Genomic DNA, 23,528 nt, shown 5'->3' with positions numbered 1-23,528 from the left:
AACTGAAGTATTAAAAGGTGTTTTAAATAGATCCAAAAGATTCATTTTTACTTTAATTGCAGTGATTATGGGATTAATTGCAGTCACAGCTACGGCTGCTGTAGCAGGAGTTGCATTGCACTCTTCTGTTCAGTCAGTAAACTTTGTTAATGATTGGCAAAAGAATTCTACAAGATTGTGGAATTCACAATCTAGTATTGATCAAAAATTGGCAAATCAAATTAATTGATCTTAGACAAACTGTCATTTGGATGGGAGACAGACTCATGAGCTTAGAACATCTTTTCCAGTTACAGTGTGACTGGAATACGTCAGATTTTTGTATTACACCCCAAATTTATAATGAGTCTGAGCATCACTGGGACATGGTTAGACGCCATCTACAGGGAAGAGAAGATAATCTCACTTTAGACATTTCCAAATTAAAAGAACAAATTTTCGAAGCATCTAAAGCCCATTTAAATTTGGTGCCAGGAACTGAGGCAATTGCAGGAGTTGCTGTTGGCCTCGCAAATCTTAACCCTGTCACTTGGGTTAAGACCATTGGAAGTACTACGATTATAAATTTCATATTAATCCTTGTGTGCCTGTTTTGTCAGTTGTTAGTCTGCAGGTGTACCCAACAGCTCCGAAGAGGCAGCGACCATCGAGAACGGGCCATGATGACGACGGTGGTTTTGTCGAAAAGAAAAGGGGGAAATGTGGGGAAAAGCAAGAGAGATCAGATTGTTACTGTGTCTGTGTAGAAAGAAGTAGACATAGGAGACTCCATTTTGTTATGTACTAAGAAAAATTCTTCTGCCTTGAGATTCTGTGACCTTACCCCCAACCCCGTGCTCTCTGAAACATGTGCTGTGTCAACTCAGAGTTAAATGGATTAAGGGCGGTGCAAGATGTGCTTTGTTAAACAGATGCTTGAAGGCAGCATGCTCCTTAAGAGTCATCACCACTCCCTAATCTCAAGTACCCAGGGACACAAAAACTGCGGAAGGCCGCAGGGACCTCTGCCTAGGAAAGCCAGGTATTGTCCAAGGTTTCTCCCCATGTGATAGTCTGAAATATGGCCTCGTGGGAAGGGAAAGACCTGACCGTCCCCCAGCCCGACACCCGTAAAGGGTCTGTGCTGAGGAGGATTAGTAAAAGAGGAAGGAATGCCTCTTGCAGTTGAGACAAGAGGAAGGCATCTGTCTCCTGCCTGTCCCTGGGCAATGGAATGTCTCGGTATAAAACCCGATTGTATGCTCCATCTACTGAGATAGGGAAAAACCGCCTTACGGCTGGAGGTGGGACCTGCGGGCAGCAATACTGCTTTGTAAAGCATTGAGATGTTTATGTGTATGCATATCTAAAAGCACAGCACTTAATCCTTTACATTGTCTATGATGCAAAGACCTTTGTTCACGTGTTTGTCTGCTGACCCTCTCCCCACAATTGTCTTGTGACCCTGACACATCCCCCTCTTCGAGAAACACCCACAGATGATCAATAAATACTAAGGGAACTCAGAGGCTGGCGGGATCCTCCATATGCTGAACGCTGGTTCCCCGGGTCCCCTTATTTCTTTCTCTATACTTTGTCTCTGTGTCTTTTTCTTTTCCAAATCTCTCGTCCCACCTTACGAGAAACACCCACAGGTGTGTAGGGGCAACCCACCCCTACAGGCTGGTGGAATCCTGACTAGTAAACTATCCTTAAAATCAGAACAAAACAAAACAATACTCTTCTTGATCCTGCATCTCTCTGTCACCAATAAACTCCATTTTCCCTCCTATCTAAGCTACTAAAAATATTGTTTTATATTCATTGTCTCTACTTCAACCCTTTGCAATCACTTTTGAGCTATAGTCCCATTTATTCAACTGGTGAACTGCACATTTTCTCGTGGATAGCCATGGACAATCTCAAACTCAGTATATCGAAAGTTATCTTATCACCCTTGCCACCTCCCTAAATCTATTTTTCTTCTGAATGTCATATTTCGAACTTAAGGTGAAAATCTGGAAGTCATTTGTATTAGTCCATTCTCACATTATTATAAAGAACTACCTGAGATTGGGTAATTTATAAATAAAAGAAGTTTAATTGACTCACAATTCTGCAGGCTGTACAGGAAGCACAACTGGGGAAGCCTCAGGAAACTTACAATCATGGAGGAAGGTGAAGGGGAAGCAGGCACATCTTACATGGCCAGAGAAGGAGAGCAAGCGAGCAAAGAGGGAGGTGCTACACACTTTTAAACAACCAGATGTCCTGAGAACTCACTATCATGAGAACAGCAAGGGAGATTTCTGCCCCTACTATCCAATTGCATCCCACAAGGCCCCTCCTCCAACATTGGGGGTTATAATTCAACATGAGATTTGGGTAGGGACACAGACCCAAACCATATCATCATTCTAGACATGTAAATATGTAAATAGGTTGAGCATCTTTAAACTGAAAATCCAAAATCTGAAGTGCTCCAAAATGCCAAACTTTTTGAGTACTGACATGATGATACAAGTTACCCTGAACACATTAATTTTCACTGTATTAATGGTATATCATTTTTTTTACTATTAAGCACATATGTGTGAATAAGAGAAAAAAATGGTTGCTTAACAGCAGCATATAGGCTGGGTGCGGTGGCTCACACCTGTAATCCCAGCACTTTGGGAGGCCAAGGCGGGCAGATCACAAGGTCAGCAGATCGAGACTATCCTGGCTAACACAGTGAAACCCCGTCTCTACTAAAAATACAAAAAAACATTAGCCAGACATGGTGGTGGGCACCTGTAGTCCCAGCTACTCGGGAGGCTGAGACAGGAGAATAGTGTGATCTTGTGAGGTGGAGCTTGCAGTGAGCCGGGATCGTGCCACTGCACTCCAGCCTGGGCAACAGAGTGAGACTCTATCTCAAAAAACAAACAAACAAACAAACAAACAAACAAAAAAACAGTAGCATATAAATTCAGAGTCAGGAATGATGTTGACACCAAACAACCACAGACTGTCCACATGGGTGATTGAGATGTACACAAACTTTGTTTCATGCACAAAATTATTAAAAATATTACATAAAAGTTTCTTCAGGCCATGTGTTTAAGGTAGATATGAAACATACATACATTTCATGTTTATACTTGGGTCCCATACCCAAGATATCTCATGTATATTTGCAAGTATTCCAAAATCTAAAAAAAACCGGAAATCTGAAACAATTTTGGTCCCAAGCATTTCAGATAAGGGACACTCTCCACCCATGCTAGACATCTAAATAAGTCATACTGTCTATATCCAGTAGAAATGCTTGAAGGTTTGGGTCTGCATCATTTCTGGCCTTAGCTTTTGTAATAGAACAGATGGGCCTGGTCTCCTTACTTCCAACCTCTTCTCTCCCAAATCTGTTCTCCAGGGTGCTCTTCTTCTGAGGCAAGCTGACAAAAATTGCTCTGCCTAAGACTCAGTGAGTGACTCCTTTATCACCTATAGCAAGGACACGTCAACCTAGAGTACCATCACAAAGACCTTTTCAAAACAGACCTACTCAGAACTAATGAGTAAGAATTTTCAAGTGGGACCTGAAAATCTCTATTTTTAAGTTATCCAGGCAATTTTGATAATCAGCCAGGTTTCTGAACTACTGGTCTTCAGGTAAAAAGCCAAATTCTTCCCATGATCTGACTGACACCACTATTCCCAGCTCCACCCCTCAGCACAAATCACGTCCCAGCAGTACCAACTCAGGACTAGTGATTCTTCAAACCCATGCTGCTTAAAACCTCTCTGTAGGAATATCCTTTTTCCTTTAACTGCCTGGGGAGTTCCTATTCATCCTTCAAAAGACTCTATTCAAGCATCATCCAACCTCATATACAGCCAGTAAATATCTACTGAGGCCCTACTATATGCCAGGCTCTGAACTAAGCATTGAGATAGAAAGACCAGTTAGCTATGTCAATGGTAGTTCTCGCTTTCAGTAGGTTCATATGCCATTGGAGAAATAGACATGAAAGTAAACAAAGAAATACAATAAAGCGAGGTAAATTCTGTGAGAGAGGCTGTGGTAGGCTGAATAAAGATCCCTCCACCTCCCACCCAAAGATGTTCACATGCTAATTTCCATAATCTGTAAATATGTTACCTTGCACTGAGAAGGGATTTTGTAGCTATATAACCTTGAGATTTCAGCTGCTTGAGATTTCAGCACCCCAGCATTTTTGTGTGTGTGTGTGTGTGTGTGTGTGCATGAAATAATGAAAATTTTGAACAGGCCCTTGCTTGCTTGTACATGTTAACCACTCGCTTTTTGCCCAGTATTCCTTGTTCCCACAATGTAATTATAAACTGCTGATGTACTGTTTCTTTGTCAAGCAGAAGGAGATAACTTCAGGGTCATAAGAATAGTTTGCAGAAGGAATGAATTCCTGGAAGGACATTGCAACCAGCTGCCATGTACATACGGCTGCACAAGGTGTTACCTGAAATGGAAGAAACACAGACTTTTCCCTTGGATTCCTTGAAACTCCCTCTCCATTACTCTCTAGCTCCATAAAAACTCCCTGCTTCTTTTTTGTTACTGTGGATCTGAGAGATCTTGCTCTCTTGCCCTCTAACTTTGGTCAAATCGAATAAATATTTCTCTGTCTCCAAGCACCAGTATCTCAATATTTGGCATCAGCTGCCCATCGGGTACATGAGCCTGAATTTGGAGTTCTAAAACAGATGTGATTAAGTTAAAGATTCTGAGATGGAGTGACTATCCTGATTATCTTGATGGGCTCAATGTAATCACAAGGGTGTTTTTAAGAGGGAGGCAGGCAGGAGGGTGAGAGAGACAGAGGAAGAGGAGGAGACTGAAAAATGTCATGCTGACAATGAAGGTGGAGGATAGTGAAATGAGCCAAGGAATGAAGGCAGCCTCTAGAAGCTGGAAAAGGAAAGGAAATGAATTCTTCCCTAGAGATTCCGGAAGGAACCAGCCCTGCCAACTTCAGTCCATTGAAATTAATTTTGGACTTCTGACCTCCAGAAATGTAAAATAACTTCTACTTATTTCAAGCCATTAGGTTTGTCGTAATTGGTTACAGCAGCAATAGAAAACTAATACATAGGCCAACATAGGGCACTGTGGTAACACATTAAAGGGGCCTCTGTATCAAGTTATGGAGTGAGGACGGGGTGTTTAGGAAGAATTACCCCAAGTGACGACCCCAGAGCTGAGGAAAGGAGATTGTGTTTCCGAGGATGACCCAGGTAGAGTAGGTAGATGTGTAAAGGCGCACAGAAAGAGCATGGAAAGTGTTTCAATAAAGTAAGACTGCTTGCATGAAATAGTAGTAATAACATCAACAATATTAACTATGGTAAATGTTCATTGTTTGTATGCCAGGAGTGCCTTGGCATTTTACAAGTCTGTGAGATTGATACTATTATTATCATCTTCATTTTACCCACAGGGATACTAAGGTCTGGAGGAGGAGGTAAGTAAATTTCCTGAGATCACCGAGCTAGTAAACAGCAAAGCTAGAACTAGAACCTTGGCAGTCTGTTTCCAAAACTCACTGTTTTTCTAATACGTTACTGTGGGAGTGTTAAGAACTTAAGGGGGCATTAGCATGGCTGAGGATAAATGAATTATTAGAAAGATATTAATGAGGTAAGGATCACTAGAGCTTGGAATATGATCTTGTCTTGGAGACTGACAAAAGTGGGAATGACTGACAGGTGTCTTCCAAGTTTCTTTGATGTGATCTCGGTTTTGCTGTGGTTCAAGACATAAAGGAGCCTTCCTTTACCACTCAAAGCAAATCACTGCTTCTTCGCTACAAATTCCACACCTTGCACAAACCTCTTCATTTCATTTCTTCCTTTTTCCCCTAATGTCTGAGGCAGAGTTGGGGGTAAAAGCACCAACTCAATTCTGGGCCTCATTTTCCATATTTGTAAAATGCCTAGAAGTATTTAACAGTTCCAAACTTGGTTGTGCTTCCGAATCCCCTGCGCTAAGTTTAAACAAAACGCAGATTCCTCATCGCATTCTCAGAGATTCTGTTGGTTAGTATTGGGATGGGGCCTTTTTTCCCCCATGATTCTACGCGGCCACGTGTTGGTAACCAATATACAGATGACTGGGTCCTTCCCAGTCCCACGCGTTTACTCGATGAAGGCAGCCTCCCGCCGGGCTCCTGGCCCCGCCCGAGCCCCACCCCCTGCTCCCTTCCGGCCCGGACTGGGTCCCATCGCCCCACCTCCGGTCGCTGGACGTGCTCTCGCGTAGCTCCGCCTTTCGTAAGTCCCCCCGCCTCGCATGATGGCTGCGGTGCCGCCGGGCCTGGAGCCGTGGAACCGTGTGAGAATCCCTAAGGCGGGGAACCGCAGCGCAGTGACAGTGCAGAACCCCGGCGCGGCCCTTGGTGAGTGAGGCGCCGGGCGAGGATGGGGGAACGTTTCCGGGGGAGGCCGCCAGGCCCAGCCGGCGCATGTGGGCGGGGGTGGTACCGGGACTTCCCGGCCCGGGGGACGCTGGGAAGGGGCGCGGGGCACGTAGGGGTCGAGCGGTCCCAGCACTTTGCTGGTGTAGCTTGTAGGGCCTCTGGCTTCGCATTCCTTCATTGAACCAGCTGTGCTAACCCAGGGCTTGGCTGGAGAGATGAAAGACCAAGGCTCAGCCGTGCGCTGAGGGGGCGGAGAGAGGTGGACTCAGCTGGTGCCGGGGAACAGTGCTGCCTGGGAACCCTTGCTCACCCGGGTCTTCGGAGTCTTGTTTACCCTTCCGTCCATTTCCCCTTTCCTTCTTTTTCCTGTACCCGAGGAGCGGTGGACGTCACCTAAGCACTGGGACTCAAACTGCAATCTTTTCGGACCTCTATCTGCTTATCTGTGAAATGGAGTTAGTCCTCCTACTCCTCACAGGGGCGTTGGGAATATCTAATGATGTAATTTAGGAGACAGTGCGCTGTAAACGACGGTGTTTTGCCACCTAAATGGGTGGTATTTGTTAGGGTGAAGGGCATATAGTAGGTAGGAGCCTGGCGCAGGAGCCAGGTTGTTTGGGTTTGAATACTAGCTCTACCCTTTGCTGGAGCTTGAAGGAGTCATTGAACCTTTCTGTGCCTCACTGATCTCACTTTCAAATGGAGATAAAAGCACCTTCCTCATAGGGCTGTTTGGGGGGATGAAAGAGTTGATAATGTAGAGAAAGCATTTGGAACACTGCCTGGCATGGTAAATGAACACTCAAATGGAAGCTGTTATGAATATTAAATACGTAGCTCCGGGGCCCAAGGGAGAGAATACAGTCATGGGTTCTTTGTTTCCGGTTGGGCTGGTAAAGCCCTTTCCTCATCCCTCTTTTCACTAGAGACAAACTAAAAACCATGGCTTTAAGCTGCAAAAAGCCTAAAACAAAACAGAACAGAACAACAAAATAAGGCGGGTTGGACAAGCTTGACTTAGATCATCACATCCCCTTTCCCATATATCCATCCTACACACTTTACAGATTATCCCATCTATCCTTCCTACACACTTTACAGATTAATCTTCCCTCTTTCTCTATTCAAAAATTCTTTAACAACTCCTATTAGGCCTGGGAAATTCACCAACTCACTACCCATCCCCGAGGCAGCCCATTCTGTCTTCAGGTAGTTGTTGGGACAGTAAGAAAATTCTTGTTAGGTAGCAACCAGCCTTTACTTCCATTTAGAATGCTAGTGCTGCCTTTAGAGCCATAAATAACACATGAACTACATCTTAGGGACTTCTACAGATTTTCAGACTAGGAAGCATCTGCTGATGAGCACCCGGTGTTCATCAAATAATACGATTTCCAGTTACTGTGGTGGTTTTTCTTTTCTGAATATGTTTGTGTCTCTCATAAAGTGATATCCAAACACAGAAGCCTTGATTTTGAAGACTGTGAATTTATTCATTCTGTCTTGCTTTCGGGCATAGCGACATGGGGAGTTAGAGAGTTATTACACATGTTGTGACATGTGCCCTACCTTCAAGGTGGGGGTTAAGTGTACACATGAGGCGTAAGTGTACACCAAATGACTGACAGCAAAGTATTCATATGAAAGATTATTAAACCATGATAAAATGCAATGCAAAGATACAGCTTCTTGTTTTACAGATGTTCTCTTAATGATTTCCTGGACTTTATATCATCTGTTACCATTTTCCAACTTCTCTTATACTTAGAATCCTTACGTTCTTACAGTTGAGACTGATTACATTAGTTTTTGATTCCTTTAAAACAAATAAGGAAAGATGCTTTTTTTAGTGTGTTTTTAATATAATATACTTACTGTAGAAATACATACTAAATCTTATTAGATGTCTCTGCTTCAGACCTTTGCATTGCAGCTGTAATTAAAGAATGCCATCTCGTCATACTGTCGCTGAAGAGCCAAACCTTAGATGCAGAAACAGATGTGTTATGTGCAGTCCTTTACAGCAATCACAACAGAATGGGCCGCCACAAACCCCATTTGGCCCTCAAACAGGTGAGGAAGCCCGGTAGGTGAGACCCAACCTGTTCACTTGAAAATGTAGATCACACTGCCACTTACTATATTGCTATTTATGGAAATCTCGTGGAAATCTCAGTAAATTACTTGTGTTTTATAGGCCTATAGCCCACAGTTACATGTGCACTTTCTTTTTTTTTCCTAAAAGCATTTCAGCATTTCAAAAAGTAATTTTTGTTAGAAAAGAAGTATGTTTAGATTCTTTCCCAGTCTTGTTTCTAATAGGCAAGTAAACATTTTCTTCATTATATACAATCTATAACAACAGTGCCTTTGCCCAGCTCAAAGATAAAGTGATTTGAGCAAGACAAAATGTTGGACATTAAGAAACAGTTCCCTGGGCATAATCAGAATGCTAAAATTATTTTTAAAAAAACTTGTCTACTTATTATGGGGTACATAATCTAATTGGTGGTATGTTAGAGTAAATGGGTACATAGCAAGTTGTGGTGTAAACTGGTTTCATGTAATGTTTGGAGCTTAAGACAAAATTGGGCCCTCCAGCTCAGGGGCTATACCATAGAGTAGAGCCTCTCTTAAGCTGGCTTCCTGATATGCTCATTCATTCATTCACTTAATTCTGCAAGTATTTTCTGGAAGTTCAGAAGGCTATCCATTGTGTGACAGGGCTACCTTGCAAGTGTTTTTGAACTTTCTGTGTGCCAGGCATTCTGCTTAGTGCTGTGTATAGAGGAGTGAAAAAGGTAGACACAGTCTCTAACCTTATAGATGCATGCTTTCTGGTTAGTTTTCTACCCCTAGTACTTAAAGCAAACAGGGTGAAGATTTCATCAAAGAAAGATCTGGGACCATGGTCTTTCCCTAAATTTTCCATTCTAGGGTGGCTTTTATCTTTTTCGGAGTCTTTTTGATCCAAAAGCAAGCTTGCTAACCCTCAAAGTGAATATATTTCTCCTTCTAGCTTCTGGGTTGTGAATAATCACCCCGTCATCAAAATTTGGCATTCTCTAGTCTCTCTCTCTTACGTAGCTCTCCCATCCAGGCAGTCCATAAGACAAAACTTCCTCTGCATCTGGTCCCCTCTTCAGTTCTGGCTGCCATTTTCCTTTCTTAGACCTTGTCAACTTTTAGTTGTCTTACTATCATAACTGATGTTTCCTCCTTCAGCTTTTCCTAAGTTCTGGCATATTCTAAATATTAAAACCAGGTTAATCATCTGAAAACACAACTTTGATTTTTAGTCGTTCTCCATTGTGTCCTGAGTAAAGACCAAACTTCTTAGTTTGGCTTACGAGATCTGTGATCTGGCCTCTTCAGTCTTCTTAGTTCGGGCTTCTCTCTTGCGTTCAGATAGATTATATTCCAGCCAACCTGGACTCAACACACCTGCATGCTCACTATGTTTGTTCCTGCTTCTGAGTCTGCTTACCTGGTCCTGTATGTTTAGAATGCCCAGCCTCACCATGTCTGCCTGTTAAAGGCCTTCCTATCCTCTAAGTCCCATTTTAAGCCTTTCTGGCAGTGATAATCTGTGTTATAGTAATCTCATTTTAAGTTGTATTTTTCTGATTATTACTGAAGTTGCTTTTTTTTTTTTTTTTTTAAATTCTTGGCTATTTGGGCCTCCTCTTTGTACTTATAGCATTTAATATAGTCTGTGTCATGGTAAAGTTATTTGTGTATATATTTTATATTCCATGTGATCCCTGAAGTAGGAAACATGTTTTATGCTTATGTTACTGCTGCAGCTGCTATTACCACTTCTACTACTGCCTTACAACTGCTTAATATTTCACAGTTTTCAGAGAACTTTCATGTAAGTACTAGAATTGGCCTGTCTCTAAACATTCCCCTAAATGGAACACAGAAAGTAGTTTTGATTCCTGTTCTGTGGAGTACATGTAGGGCATGCTGGCAGATAAAGTGGTATTAGAAACTTCCCTATCTCTAGTTGCTAAAAATCTAGTAGTAAAAATAGGAAGACATGTAAAATATTTAATTAAATGCTAAAATAAAAACAGACCCTATTTAAAATTGCAATCTTCTCAGCACTCCCTCTCTGCCTTATTTGTCTTCATAGCACTTAACACCACCTGCCATTGATTGACTGCCTTTCTCTCCCAGCTATAATGTAAGCTCCACAAGGGCAATGTATTTTGTCCCTTTTGTTTACCACCATAATCCAGTTCTTAGAACAGTGTTCAGTAAGCACTCAATAGGATTTTTAATTTTTTTTAAAAAAAGTAAGAGCCATGCATGGTACAAAATGCTGTAGGAATTCTGTAGTCCTCAGGAATAACACACAAAGGGCAGCATGGGACTGCATCTAGACAGATACAAAAATTTGGATGGGCATTGATACTGGCAACAAGAGTATCTTGCCAGAGCTGCAAATATACTTCTAGAAATTGAACCAAGGTTATGGATTCTGTTTTAACAGCGGTTTTCAAGAATAATGGAGGGAACAATCCTTAAATTCTTTAGGGTCAGCTCCTATCTTTTTCAGTTTTCAAGTCTGGACACCATCCTTTGAGGGAGGTATTGACAAACCCAGATGGTAAAGCACTTGGAAAACATAGTAAGTGAACTGCGGTTCAAAAGAGAAAAAAAACCCAAGAGAGAGAAGGGAGAAAGAGAGAAGATGCAGAGGAACATAAGAACAAGCTTCATCTAATCAAAGAATATATTTGTTCAGTGATTAAAGCCAATCGTTTTCCTCATCTCTGTGGTACTTTATAGACTGTTGAAATTTAGTAGTTAATAATTTTCTATCTTGTTTTAATAGTTTCACTATTAAAAATCATGTTGTCGGCCAGGCGCGGTGGCTCATGCCTGTAATCCCAGCACTTTGGGAGGCCGAGGTGGGCGGATCACAAGGTCCAGATCGAGACCATCCTGGCAAACACGGTGAAACCCCGTCTCTACTAAAAATACAAAAAATTAGCCTGGCGTGGTGGCGGGTGCCTGTAGTCCCAGCTGCTTGGAAGGCTGAGGCAGGAGAATGGTGTGAACCCAGGAGGTGGAGCTTGCAGTGAGCCGAGATCACGCCACTGCACTGCAGCCTGGGCGACAGAGTGAGACTCCATCTGAAAAAAAAAAAAAAAATCTTGTCTTAGCAAAATTATAATCTTGAGAATAACCTATACTCGTTTTGGTCCCTTTTATGACATCAAGCTCATTGTGGCATATACTAATTTCTTAGGAGTCACCTGATTTTAAAAATGTGTTTGGCTGGATAAATTCCAAATTTGTAACTAGAAGCAATTGCTTGCGCTTTGGATTTCTCTACCCTGAAAAAAAATAAGGTATTCTGTGATATTTAGCATATTTCCATACTTTGAAAATCTAGAAGTCTTTGCTTTCCTGGTCATAATCAGTGACCCTGTCTGCATTACATACACATGAATTTGAACTGCTCTTCTTCTTTCAGGTTGAGCAATGTTTAAAGCGTTTGAAAAACATGAATTTGGAGGGCTCAATTCAAGACCTGTTTGAGTTGTTTTCTTCCAAGTAAGTAAGTGGTCCAGTTGCTTTGTGATGTGGTGGGCTGGGAACTCAATGTCTTGTGATCTCCCTTTGGATTTCTCTATGCTTGCTGTTGGAATATAACCAATTATACCTCAGCTGTATAAATTTTGTTTTAATGTGGGGTACCTGGTGTTTGTGGTAATCTTCTGACATTGATCTATGGGAGTGACTGGTGTGACATTGAAATCTGGGTCATGGTAGATTATATTAAAACATCAGTGGGCTGTTATTGTGCTTAACTACCTCAAGTTGAGCTTAAAGCAAGTCTTCACTTGAAAACTGCTATAGAAATGCTTTATATTTAAAAATGAAAGTAATGGGAGCTTGCACATAGCTGAAAATGTGAAGGGTCGCCCAGGGAGGACATGGAAGCTCTGTGCTTCTTCTGCCATACCTTGCCCTATGCATCTCTTTGTTTCAATCCTTTGTCATATCCTTTATAATAAACTGGTAAATGTAAAAAAAAAAAAAACAAAAAAAAAACCCTTTTTTTTTAAGTGAAAGTAATGTACTTTTTCTATTTTTTTCAAGTGAAAATCAGCCCTTAACTACCAAAGTATGTGTTGTCCCCAGTCAGCCAGTGGTGGAGTTGGTGTTGATGAAGGTTTTGGGAGCCTGCAAGTTGTTGCTCCGCTTGTTGGACTGCTGCTGCAAAACTTTTCTGTATCCTTGAATATCTTGAAATATACCTTCTTTTGATTTGGAATTGTTTGGATATTTTTAACAGTATTTTTGTTTGAAAGCTAACACTCCATAGGAGTTACAACCTACAGGAATTCTTAAACTTTTGCTTCTTGGCCTCCTTTTCTCAGGAATTGCCTGATGCAGCCATTGCCAGAGACTGCCTGTCACTGTTCAGCACGTATTATCCTAAGAGCATTGATAGCTAGAAATTCTTAATCTTAGAAACTAAACTTTAAGAACTAAATTTAATAATGGGAACTCTAGCAGAGTGTTTATAACCATATTTTAAAGTTTTAAATTCTTAAATAGAATGTGTTTTAAGGCTTTAATACCTTTAAGAAAATTCTCTTTACTTCCAATATATTTCTTCATTCATGATTGTAACTTACAAAACCCACATTACTTTGATTTTGTTTTCTACCTTAAATTGATTTTCCAGTTTGACTGTGAAACATCTAGGTTTGCAAGAGTTCATTATTTTAAACCTTGTGATGGTTGGGCTGGTGAGCAGGTTATGGTATGTACATACCTCTGACATCCTTCATTTCTTTCTCATCTCCTTTCAGCCTAGGTTTCTTATTAGTAGTTTTCAAACTTATTTTCTTATGGGGTTATGGAAGGTGCAGGTATTCTCTTTCTTGGTTTGATCAGAGTTTTTTGAGGGTAGATTGGGAAGCCGAGTGCTGATGGCTGTATCAAAGGAGTAGGCTTTGTATCTCAATCCACAAGATCAGCCCAATCACTGAACAACTAAAAAAATCGGGAGTGACTGGTGTCACACTGAAATCTGGGTCATGGTAGGTTGTAGTGAAACATCAGTGGGCTTTTACTGAACATTAAAAAAATTAATGCCTGTGACTGGGAATTGCAGTAATAAAAAATTGTTGGTAGTAGTCATATTGCAACAGGCCGTTTAAAATGATGCTAATCCTGGGCTGGCTGTATCACTTGATTCTTTCTGTCACTCGGTTTCTAATTTTTAATGGCAATGATAAATGCAATTTTTGACCTTCTTATGTGCTAGACTATTTTCTTCCATCTCAAACACCACTGCTTTTTTGAGCATATTTAGTTGATGTATGCTGGTAATACTTGGAAACTAAAGAGACATCTCTTTCATGTCTCTCAGTACATATTGTGAAACTGATCTGATGGATAATTAGAATTTGCCCGTATCTGTAAGAAGGCCTGTTTTGGGCCATTTCAAACAATTAAGATTATTAGTTCTAATATGAATGTAAGAAAACATTGGATGGAGAAAAGAAAAAAAGTTTCTGTGTTTAGAGATTGAAAACCTTGCTTTGATATCTTAACCTGGATATCTCAAATAGTATTTCCTATTGTTTTATTTTTTATTCTACTTATTCTTAATCAGAGGTAACAATGTTTGATTACTAATCATATTATTTTAAAATGCTAAACCTTTGATACTCTCTTCTGTAATGAAAATAGCTTTAATTTTTGCTGATTATAATACATGCCTGTTTTAAGAAATTTAAAAAGAGAAATGTGAAGAACCTGAAATTTGCCTAAAATCTCACCATCTACCACACTTAAAACTTTGATATGCATCCTTTTGTACATTTCTCCATGTAGTACTTTTTGAATATATATATATCTTTCCTGGTAGACTGTCTTACAGTTTTTTGAGTAACATTTTATACTTGGATTTTTCTGTTGGGTTGGACTAATCTGGCTGTTCGCAAGTGTGCACTATAGTGTTTTTTATCTGTACTGGAGGACCTTGATAGCCATTTATTTTCAGCTTTCAATCTTGCAGTTTATTATGTAATCTGCAAATTGTAATTACTGGCTAATTAATGAGCTCCTATTTCTTTCTCTAGGGTTCTCTATAAAGGTGTCTTAAAAAGGTTGATTTTGTTATATGAGCCTTTGTTTGGATTGCTTCAAGAGGTCGCTAGGATTCAACCAATGCCTTACTTCAAAGATTTTACCTTTCCTTCTGATATCACTGAATTTTTAGGACAGCCATATTTTGAAGCCTTTAAGAAAAAAATGCCTATAGCTTTTGCAGCTAAAGGAATAAATAAATTGCTAAATAAACTGTTTTTAATAAATGAGCAGTCACCAAGAGCCAGTGAAGAAACCTTGCTTGGAATTTCAAAAAAAGCTAAACAAATGAAGATCAATGTACAGAATAATGTGGATCTTGGACAGCCAGTAAAGAATAAGAGAGTCTTCAAAGGTAATTTGCTTTGATACAGCACATACTCTAGTAAAACAAAAAACAAATAAAAAGAAACCTTTTGAAAGTAATAGTCATGCATTGCATAGAAAGAAATTCAACATCTCACATCTTAATTTTGACTCATATTGATTAGAGAGGTATGGTAATACCTGTGCTTTCTAAGCTTGAGTACTTTAAGTTGTTTATTTGTTTCTGTAGTTGCTTCCTAGTTATTTGCTTGCTTTATTCCTTTATTTTGTGGTAATTTGGCAAGAAATGTCATGCACTTAAGAATTTGTTGTAGATTTGAAAATAGTATGCCTAAGGTTTTGTATCTGCAATTTTTCCACCTCCACAGAAGAGTCATCAGAATTTGATGTGAGGGCTTTCTGCAACCAGCTGAAACACAAAGCTACTCAGGTTTGTCTGGCTTCATTAAATTTAGCTTATGATTTCTGCTAATTTGTAGAGGATGCTTCTTACCAAGGGCAGAGATTGAATCTTTTCATTTTATCCCCAGCTCTAAGCTTAGTGCCTTCTTAGTTGTCAGTGTGTGCTTCTGAATGAATAGAGGCAAGGGATTTTTAATACATCTAGTTAATTCAGTTAATAGAGTACCTTCAGAAATATTTTAGTAGGAGTTTCTCTAGAATTTTAAAGTAACCGTAAGATCTGTTGTTAAGTATGGATTGTACTGCAGCTTAAGAGTATAGGCTTTGCAGTCAGACAGTTGGTTTGAATCCTGGCTTTGGTACTAGCTGTGTGACCTTCTGTGAGTTTCCTGATCTCTCCGTACCTCTATTTTGTAATAGTAATATGTGCCTCATAGGGTTGTGCTAGTTTTAATGCATGTAAAGCGTTCGGTAGTCTGGAGTATGGTAAGCATTTAATTGGAGTTAGATGTTATTAGCTACGGTCATTTTGGTCATCATCCTCATCATTTTGTCATGAAGCTATTCCTTTACTCCTGTTGAGGTTCAAGTTTTAACATGATTGATTAATGTCTGTAAATTCTGTTTGTTCTGGACCTAACAGCATATAAGTACATCGGCATTACTGTTTTACTCAGTAACTTGACTTTTTTTTTTTTTTAACCCTGTCTTTGCAAAATGTCTACTTCTGGTATTTTTCATGGGTTAGTTTACTTCTTTTATTTAAGAATTCTTAAACATATTTTCTTGAACTTAAGGACTCCAGCTTCCATTGATGTTCTGTCCAATTTATGAATTCAGAGTGAGGAGTAATACTTTCTGTGCCAGGCATTGTTCTAAGTGCTTTTATATGCATGAAGTCATGTAATTATATCACAAAAGCTCTGTGAGGTGGGCATGCTTATTACTGTTTTCATATTTCAGATGAGGAAACTGAGGCATAGAAAGGCCAAGAAACTGCCAGGCCACATAGTGAATAAATGGTAGAGCTGCGATTTGAATGCAGGCAGTATGGTTTCATAGTCTTTCTTCTTTACTATTCACCAGTCCCCAGAACAGTTTTTCAACTGTATCTCAAGAACTATGGTGCTTTGTGAACCTTGAAACTTCTGCAGCCTGTGCACCTGTTTGTAGGTGAGCTGGCTTTGAAGTTGGTGGGTCAGCATCCCTCTTACTCAAAACTAACTGCTACTATATTTTTAGCAAATAGCACTAACTTGCTTAGCTTTAAAGCAAACTACTTCTATTGATCACCAAACATAAACTATTGACCTGGGTCATTACTTTTATATTTTCTACTTTTTTTTAAAGTTCCTTTTGAGTGTAAGAAATTTGGAAGAAGGTAAGCTTTGAATGAAAGAGCAGATCATCTCGTAGGCAGCATATTTTCATAAAGAAATAGTAAACGTTAGTAAAATCCAAATGTGACTTGATATAGAAAGAAGGGGTTGAAGAAGTAAAGGTGCCTTGTCAGAAGATGGTTGAAGTAGAATTGGAAGTGTTGCTCAATTGAGCATTTTTAATAGATATTCAGCAGGCATTAACTGATTAATGGGCTTATTCTGCTGGGCACTCTGCAGGGCCCCATATCTTCCCTGTTTTCAGAAACATTTCTAAATTGAGGAGGTTTGCCCAGGATACGGAAATAAGTGAAAAACAAGTCGTGATAATCTGGTGGTGTAGCGAAGAGGGGCCTTTCAGTGATCCCCCAACCCTCTGCAATTAGGCTTTGACCAGTATTTAATCATGTGGGGTTTTTTTATTGTGTATGTGAGATATGTGTGTTAGGATATTTATGTTAACTTTCCTATGTCAATCTAATTCAGCTGCAGATGGGACCTGTCCTGGTACAGAGGGGGAACAAAACAACTTGTATTTGGAGCAGTGGAGAAAAATTCAGTTTTTAAAGACATAAGGAAAGCTTAGTGAGCAAAAAAATTTCCTTACAGACTGATTTTTTTTTTTTAATTTTTAGGTTTTGTGGGTACGTAGCAGGTATATATATTTATGGGGTACGTATTTTGTTATAAGCATATAGTGCATAATAACCACAGGGTAAATGGGGTATCCATCACTTCAAGCATTTAGGGACTGATAATTCTAATTTTTAAATTTTGATTGTGAGCTAGCTTTCCTTGTTGTCATATAATTACAAGTCAGTAACATGTCCAATATATTTTTCTCATCTTTCCACGTTTCAGGAGACCAGTTTTGATTTTAAATGTTCTCAATCCAGACTAAAGACAACCAAGTATTCTTCTCAGAAAGTGATAGGAACTCCTCATGCCAAAAGTTTTGTGCAAAGATTCCGAGAGGCTGAGTCCTTCACACAACTTTCTGAAGAAATCCAGATGGCAGTTGTATGGTGCAGGAGCAAAAAACTCAAGGCTCAGGCCATTTTTCTGGGTAACAAACTTCTTAAAAGCAACCGGCTTAAACATCTGGAAGCTCAAGGTACTAGGTAGGTATATTGCAAAAATTATGTTACTTTACTTTTTCTGTTGTTGTTATGAGTAAAAGTATTCAGGTCACTTTTCTTTAAAATGTGATGTCCAGCAGCCGCAGCGGGGCTAAATTGGGATGTACTCAAACTGCAATTGCATTTGCTGCTTTTATTGTAAGAGCAAAGCTGTATCATTGGAGGAAGAAGATAAACAAGTTAATTGGACTTCAGTCCCCGTTATGCTCTTCATCATTTCCATCAGCTCATTCAGGAACCATTAAGAGTGTCTAGTGTGCTGAGCCTGAGGATACAACTGCATAAAGACGTGACTTGGTCTTCAGGGAGCTCAGGGTCTTCTGGGAAAGGCAGCCCTTCTGCAGACAGCTTCAGTGCAGTGCAGTGGGATAAGGGCATGAGAGCAGAAGCAGAAGGTGCCTGCCTTCCATGAGGCCCACACAAGACTGCTGGGGTGTTGTACTGTTGCTACTTGCTACTGTTTGTAGCAGCTGGACTCTATCTATATTTCTTTTCTGTGATTTTTATATTCACAACTGTTTAAGGGTGCTTATCTTTGCTTGTGAACCAGTATTGCATGAAGTATTACATGAATTTAGACATTAGACACTTCAGGGCTTAACGGTAATGATTTCAGACACAAATATGTATTAAGAGCCTATTCCACCTTCACAGAGGCAATTATTCTGACCTGTTTTTTATTGTATTCTTTAACAAATATCCTGTGCATGCCCCATAATTTCTTATCCATAGTTTAGAGCTATTCAGGGATTTAAAGTTCATTCCTGGGGATGAACCACGTATTGAAAATTTGTTAAATTTTCTTTTAAAATTTGCATAAAATATATTCCTGTTTTAGAAAAAAAAAAGTATACAGTGAGGGTTTTGTAACACATTTTGATTAAAAGCTATGGGGAAAGTGGTTGAATATTCCTGAGGGATAAAGTGCTTGAGGGGTTTTTACATTGAGATGGCTCCTCTAAAGGTCTGTAATAATCTAAAAGTGATGTATCCTATGGCTGGAGACGCAGCCTGAGATGGAGAGAAGCATTCTGTTTAAAATTGGGTTTAAAATCAAGGGTAGATGAGGCAGAGGTAACAACTAAAAGTTAATGAGAAGGGTAGCAAACTGGTGTTTATTGGTTAAACCATTACTCAGTACTCCCCCAGATATAGTGCTCCTTCATAGATTGCCCTGTTTTGCTGTTTCATTAATATATTTGTAGTAAACTTTATAATTTATTTAATGTCCATAATAACATTGTGAGGTAGACAGTATTATTCCCATTTCATAGATGGGTAAATGGAGGATTTTGCTCAAGGGGTTAGATGTGGAACTCAGTTCAGGCCCTCTGTTTTCCTTTCAACTCTGAAGTACACCCACCTTCTCCCCACTTAAAAGCCACTGCTTATAGTGAGATAAGAAAATGGTATGGAAGCAAAGATCATGATTTACTTTATTATAATGGGCTTCCTCAAAGTTTTATATCCATGCCCGTCTTTTAAAATCTATCACAAACAGTGAAACAATTCAGCAAGGCACTGATGAACCTTGTGGCAGTGTACCGTGTGTGGAAGCAAAACACCTAAAATGATCAGCTGTTTGATTTCTGAATTTCCAAACTTGAAGATGACATATGAATCATAATTAGGGTAGCTTAAGGCTGTCTGTGTATCTGGGCCAGAAGCCCTGTCTTCATATTGTTTTATAAACCCCTCTTAGCCTTTATTCCTTTTTCCTTGTTCATTTCCTGCCACAGCATGAAGCTGATTATCCAGATTCGGATTAATACGTACTGGCAGATTTTTTCATTTGTGATGTTTCCTCATGTCCACTCATTACATTATGAACAGATTAGCAGTTATGAGGGAAAAGCTCTGACACTAAAGTATAGGGTATCTCGCCATTCAGCTAATTGCTAGGCGGCTGTACTTTTGAGAGTTTGAAAGCAAAATGGGGACACATTCGTCTACACTTCAATCAGAGGGCATTTGTGCTCTCAAAAAACAGACTTGGGGTGAAATTTTTCGATGTGGTTCTGGGATTGTACACAGGCATAGGACTTGTAGATAAGTTGTGTATTTTTCTTTTCAGTTGGTAAATTAAAAGTGCTTGAGAATGTTTTTCTCATCTTAAGCCCAGATTTTTCCTCTCTCTGTCTTTTAAAGTTTGCCAAAGAAACTAGAGTGCATAAAAACGTCTATTTGCAACCACCTTCTTCGTGGCTCAGGTATCAAAACTTCAAAGCATCATCTGAGACAGAGAAGATCACAGAATAAATTTTTACGGAGACAAAGGAAACCACAGAGAAAGTTGCAGTCGACTCTTTTAAGGGAAATTCAGCAGTTCTCTCAAGGGACTCGGAAGAGTGCTACAGATACCAGTGCTAAGTGGAGACTCTCACACTGTACTGTGCATAGAACTGATCTCTACCCTAACAGTAAGCAGCTCTTGAATAGTGGAGTTTCAATGCCTGTCATACAAACTAAGGAGAAAATGATTCATGAAAATCTTAGAGGCATCCATGAAAATGAAACTGATTCGTGGACGGTGATGCAAATAAATAAAAACAGTACATCAGGAACCATTAAGGAGACAGATGACATTGATGATATTTTTGCTTTAATGGGAGTTTAGATGTTCGTTCATATGTGAGACTTTTAAGTGATTAACAAGGCTAGTTCAGTGTTCTAAGTAGAACTGCTAAGATCTGGAAGTACCACCTGGACTCACAGAGGAGCTGCTTTAGTGCAGCATTGCACAGGAGTTCATTTCAGTTCAGTCTACATTTAAAGTAGCATTGTGTCATTTCATCAACAAGTATTTCTTTTTTGGCTTCAACTACATGTCAGGTGTTAATATGAAAAATCTGCCACAGCCTACCCTTGAGAAGCAGATGTAATTCCTTGAGTGAGGCTAGTAAGTCTCTGAAAAACTGAATAATTTTATGACTTACTAGGCAATTTAATAATCGTTTGCAAAAACCATTGTGTCTTGAGGTAAATGAGGAGCGGGGGTGGGAGATAGCAAGGAAACACCTGAAAGGTCAATTTGGTCTTATTGGCTCCATTATACATAGGTCCGCCTCTGAATACTAAAGTTTGTAGCTCCTGACATTTATGTTTTCTTGTTTATATGTTGGAATTGATCAACAAGGTTTGCCACTGCTTGTATTACCAGGGACTGGTTACAACCATTATTTCTCTTCATTTGCTTGGCTTATCTCATATTAAAGTGAGTTTGGAGTTCTCCAAAACGTTTTAATTTTATTTATTTGGGTACCAGTGATTGATTCCAAATAAACCTTTTTACAAAAAGGCAATAAGGTGGTTTATGGTTACATATGAAATATAATAGGATAACAGGTAGATGAGAAAGTAAAATGAAAAAATGAGGTTAGGAGATACAAAGTAGACCCAGGAATGAGGCTAGAACATTTATAATTTGGTGTTGATGCTGTCATCTGATAGGGGATGTTGCTCGTACTGTTGCTCTGAGGGGAGTACATCTTGAGTATTTTCAAATAATGATGTGAAGTTTGAGGTAGGTATCTTTCCAATGTTCTAACTTTACTAGAATTAGGTTATTAAGCTTCTCTAGTGCCCTTAACTTTTGTTACATAGAGATTTAAAGAAAAAGAAAGTAGTACCTTAGTATGTACCGCATCCTTCTTTTCCTCAGCCACCCTATCATAACAGAAGTTATTTCCCTTCCATTCTTTATTTGGCTTTGTTCTTTCCCTGTCTGCCTTCTCCATTTTCTCAGTTATCTCTACCAGTGGTTCTCAAACTTTAGACTTTTTGAGAATCACCTGGTGGGTTGCTAAAAGATGCAGATTAGCCCTTTCCCAGAGACTGATAAACAGGGGCCAGAAACCTGCATTTTTAACATGGAGCCCAAGTGATTTTGATCCAGGTGGCCCCCAAATCCAGTTATATAAACACTACTTTAGCTTCTCTCCTGAAGCCTTAAGTAAACTGGTTTAATTCTTAATCTGTAGTCAGTTTTCATATTCCTTTTGGCTTTCTACCAAGTGGTAGTATCCATTTAGTGCCTTAAAATACAGACAATACCAAGGAGATTTCATTCTAGACAAGTCTAGAAATGGCCATTAACTTCTAAGTGTCCTTGTGTTCAATGAATATCCTTTACCTATTGGGAAATAGAAGGTAAATTAGTAAGAGAACTGGTGTATAGCTTTGTGGACCATAGGGCTTATTTGCTGAGAGTTGTCTATATTCATGCACCCAGTCCCCTAAGTAGCCTCTTTTAATACTTCATTTAGCTGATTCAGAAAAAAACTCCCTGGGAATTAGGAGATTTAAGGTTCAGTCTTGCTTCTCCTACTTGTGGCTTCACTGAGCTAGTCAGTTTCCTCAGGCTTAGGTTTCTGGATTTGAAGTGGAATTTTTTCAAGAATGAAACTTTTATAGCTGAAATAAACTTTGGAGCTTATCTTTCATTGGAAAAACCAGGGTGGTTCAGTGAGTTAAGGACAATATAGCATGGACTGGGCTGCCAGTCTAGCATTTGTTTCCAAATTCATTCATGTTCTTTTGGAGTATCTTCATCTCCTCTCATTTTCCCATCTTCTGCCCTTTACTATTCTGGGAAAATGGCAAAAAAGCTTCACATGTGTCCACAAAATGACAATTTGTATGTTTATAAGGAATTCAGTATTCTGTATCAGTTACTTTTTCCAAATAAATCCAAATATTTAACATTTAAAAAAATGCAATCTAAAGTATACCAAACTGTAACTTACCTAGTAAATGAGATTAGAAACTATTGTCAGGGTCATCGTAGTGAATTATTATTATTATTATTTTTTGAGACAGAGTCTTGTGCTGTTGCCCAGGCTGGAGCACAGTGGTATGATCTCAGTTCACTGCACCCTCCACCTCCTGGGCTCAAGCTATTCTCCCACCTCAGCCGCCTGAGTAGCTGACACTATAGGCACCACCATGCCCTGGCTAATTTTTTAAAAACTTTGTGTAGAGATAGGGTTTCACCATGTTGCTTAGGCTGGTCTCAAACTCCTGGACTCAAGGGATCCACCCACTTTGGTCTCCCAAAGTGCTGGGATTACCCACATCCTAGTACCAACTTTATCACTTCTGATGGCATTAGGACACACAGGCCATTTATAAGAGCAGTGTTTGAGACCTCCTGTGTGTCACTTCCAATCCTCTTGGCCTTCATACTAAAGTCACTGCTGTGGCAACCAGTTTCAAGCAGGGCTGAACCTTGCCTCTTGCTCTGGGGATGTCTCACTTCCTGCCCCTGGGCTTCTCACCAGCTACAGGAACTGCCTAGCACTTGGGTATGTACAACCTGGAAGAGGTGTGGGGCCACCCCATCCCCTCCTCAAAGAAATTCACAGGCACAGTATGAGGCTAAAGTAACTTCCATCTTGGATGCTAATCTACCATGTTGACTTCTGATAACCAGTTCCTGGAATGCCCTCTAAGATTTCTACTTTTATCTATTAAAAGAACACACACACACACACACACTGTAAATCCTGGCCTTAAGCAAGTTATAGGCTAAGTTGTAAACAGCATTCTTGCCTTTCCCTGAGGAGGTGACTTCAGTGTCTCACATGTTCCTTCATGTACCCCCTTTTCTCTATGGCATATAAGCCCTGGGTCGGGGGGTAACTGTGGGGATCACTGCCTGAGACATGGCTTCTGTGCATAAGTCCCTATTAAATGTTTCTTTCTGACAAACTGGATTTGTTGGCCTCTTTCTTTGGCATCTCAGC

General features: G+C 39.8%; 1 protein-coding gene and 1 long non-coding RNA gene across 25 annotated transcripts in view, besides 2 other annotated features; one reads left to right on the top strand and one right to left on the bottom strand.

Annotated features, from left to right (window-relative positions):
• Positions 1–6,419, bottom strand: part of NEPRO-AS1 (NEPRO antisense RNA 1) — a 164,860-nt gene extending 158,441 nt beyond the window's left edge. For 12 of the 13 annotated variants that reach the window (NR_186661.1, NR_186663.1, NR_186662.1 and 9 more), the window contains exon 1: positions 6,231–6,419. This is a non-coding gene — a long non-coding RNA (NEPRO antisense RNA 1). Of the gene's footprint in view, positions 1–2,057; positions 4,461–6,230 lie in introns of those variants that run through there. The other variant, NR_186651.1, reaches the window with a different exon arrangement.
• Positions 6,266–23,493, top strand: RMP64 (ribonuclease MRP subunit p64). Of its 12 annotated transcripts, none has more exons than NM_015412.4 (9): positions 6,266–6,395; positions 8,335–8,489; positions 11,905–11,984; positions 12,534–12,665; positions 13,126–13,203; positions 14,531–14,892; positions 15,233–15,294; positions 17,507–17,766; positions 19,933–23,493. In NM_015412.4, the coding sequence occupies exons 1-9, from the start codon at positions 6,290–6,292 to the stop codon at positions 20,399–20,401; spliced, it is 1,704 nt and encodes a 567-aa protein (NP_056227.2). In that variant the 5' UTR covers positions 6,266–6,289; the 3' UTR covers positions 20,402–23,493. The 12 variants fall into 12 exon arrangements, 11 of the variants coding, with proteins under 11 accessions (NP_056227.2, XP_016861591.1, NP_001306041.1 ...); XM_017006102.3 differs by having other exon boundaries at positions 19,907–21,020; XM_047447904.1 differs by lacking the exon at positions 6,266–6,395 and adding an exon at positions 6,528–6,871.
• Positions 6,478–6,587: a silencer, noted in NCBI's record as "silent region_14605". NCBI's record gives its function as "represses an Ori minimal core promoter by ATAC-STARR-seq in GM12878 lymphoblastoid cells {active_cell/tissue: GM12878}" and the evidence as "EXISTENCE:reporter gene assay evidence [ECO:0000049][PMID:35858748]".
• Positions 6,748–6,817: an enhancer, noted in NCBI's record as "active region_20247". NCBI's record gives its function as "activates an Ori minimal core promoter by ATAC-STARR-seq in GM12878 lymphoblastoid cells {active_cell/tissue: GM12878}" and the evidence as "EXISTENCE:reporter gene assay evidence [ECO:0000049][PMID:35858748]".
• Positions 23,494–23,528: the final 35 nt, after the last annotated feature.

The sequence above is a fragment of the Homo sapiens genome, chromosome 3, assembly GCF_000001405.40.
Source record: "Homo sapiens chromosome 3, GRCh38.p14 Primary Assembly".
Classification (NCBI taxonomy): Eukaryota; Metazoa; Chordata; class Mammalia; order Primates; family Hominidae; genus Homo; species Homo sapiens.
This window is presented reverse-complemented; position numbering and strand designations above follow the sequence as displayed.

What these genes read in the sequence shown, in the direction of transcription:
- RMP64 (NM_015412.4), top strand. Translation starts at nt 6,290, where the DNA reads ATGATGGCTGCGGTGCCGCCGGGCCTGGAGCCGTGGAACCGTGTGAGA. An exon ending in TGCTGCTGCAAAACTTTTCT is followed by an intron (nt 12,666 to 13,125) that starts GTATCCTTGAAT and finishes TTGATTTTCCAG; the next exon opens with TTTGACTGTGAAACATCTAG. An exon ending in TGAAACACAAAGCTACTCAG is followed by an intron (nt 15,295 to 17,506) that starts GTTTGTCTGGCT and finishes TCCACGTTTCAG; the next exon opens with GAGACCAGTTTTGATTTTAA.